Genomic DNA, 1,496 nt, shown 5'->3' on the forward strand with positions numbered 1-1,496 from the left:
TGAAGCAACATGAGATTAGATAAGAAACTGAGTTCTAACCACAGTCCATTTTGTAGCAATGTGACTTTGAGCAAATAATTTAGGTTGGGAGTTAGTGTTTTTTACCTTTAGAGTGAGGAAGTTGGTTTATCTCTGAGGTTTCTCTTGGATTACCAAGATGTTGGATTATCTCTGAGCCTCCTCTTATCACTCCATTATTAGTAGAAAGAAATTTGATATGAGATGGATAAAAGAAAGCAGCTTTATCCTGAAGAATTTACCAACAAAATTTGTTTAAATCCAACAAAAATACAGGAATTTCTAGCCCAAGAATATGAGCTCTAAGTATTCCCAGATTTGGACTTTGAGTATTTAATCTCCAGAGAACTTTTGTCTTCTCCCAAAACTTCTCCTACCTGTCCACTCAGTCTTTGACCAAATGTTCAGGTTTACTATGAAGCGCTGACACAGAGGGATTGGGGCTTCACATCCTTGCCTTGCCATGTTGTTCTCCTGACTTCCCCCCACTAAAAGTTTGACCTCACTGAGGCAGACTGCAGTCTTCTTGTTCCTAGTAGTTAGTAGAGTGTTACATATCAATAATCACTAGACACTAGCTGAATGAATGGACTACAATTGAGCTGATTTTTCATGAATAGCAGAGGACTATGTTTCTTTGAGGACTGTAACAGTATATTTTTGGAACACTGGAAAACAGTGGAGGCTGCACTTAGAGCTAGAGTTAGTGGTTTTCTACTTTAAGCAAAGTGATTTAATTTGCTTTGGCTGTGAAGAGGGGATGCAGGGGCGCTGTAAGGTGGTGGATGCCTCACCTCCTCTAGAAGGCAAATCAGAGATCCTGTGCTGCTTGGAATAGAAGAAGGCAGTGAGGAAGTGAAAGTTCAGCCACCTCTGGGGCAACAGTGATCTAGAGGGCTCAAGGCACTTGAATGGGGGACACTCTAAGGTCAAACTTAGACCTGGTGCCACCTTTCCCAGAAGCGGGGAGGCCAGACCATTAACGCAGCCCTATTGGGCTCCATATCCTGCTCTAGCCCACCTTTCATGAACAGAGTGAGCTCCAGGAGGGAAACAGAGAGGAAAACAGCTCCATCATGAGCACCCTTGAAAACCAGCACTTGGATAATCACATCAGCAGCTGATCGCAGACTGTTTTTAATCATTGACTTTCCATTGAGCGTCTGTCGTTATACGGTCCTGGGTTTTGGCTGAGATTATCTCTGAAGAAAAAAGATGAAAAGAAGCAAATCCATATTGGACTACGGAATTTCTTCCATTTACCATAAATAAGCAATAATAACAACAATGATAAAGAATATTAAATAGCAAAGAAAAAAGTCCTTGTCATTTTATGGATTCACAATAGAACTACTACATTTACTATAAGATATTATATTGATTAACTCAGTGATATGATACTAGAAATCAGTCTTGCAGGGGAAAAAATCTGATTTAGAAAAAATTATATTAGAGATTCATGTTCATTTTAAACCTCA

This window comes from Homo sapiens, chromosome 20, assembly GCF_000001405.40.
Source record: "Homo sapiens chromosome 20, GRCh38.p14 Primary Assembly".
NCBI classification, from domain to species: domain Eukaryota; kingdom Metazoa; phylum Chordata; class Mammalia; order Primates; family Hominidae; genus Homo; species Homo sapiens.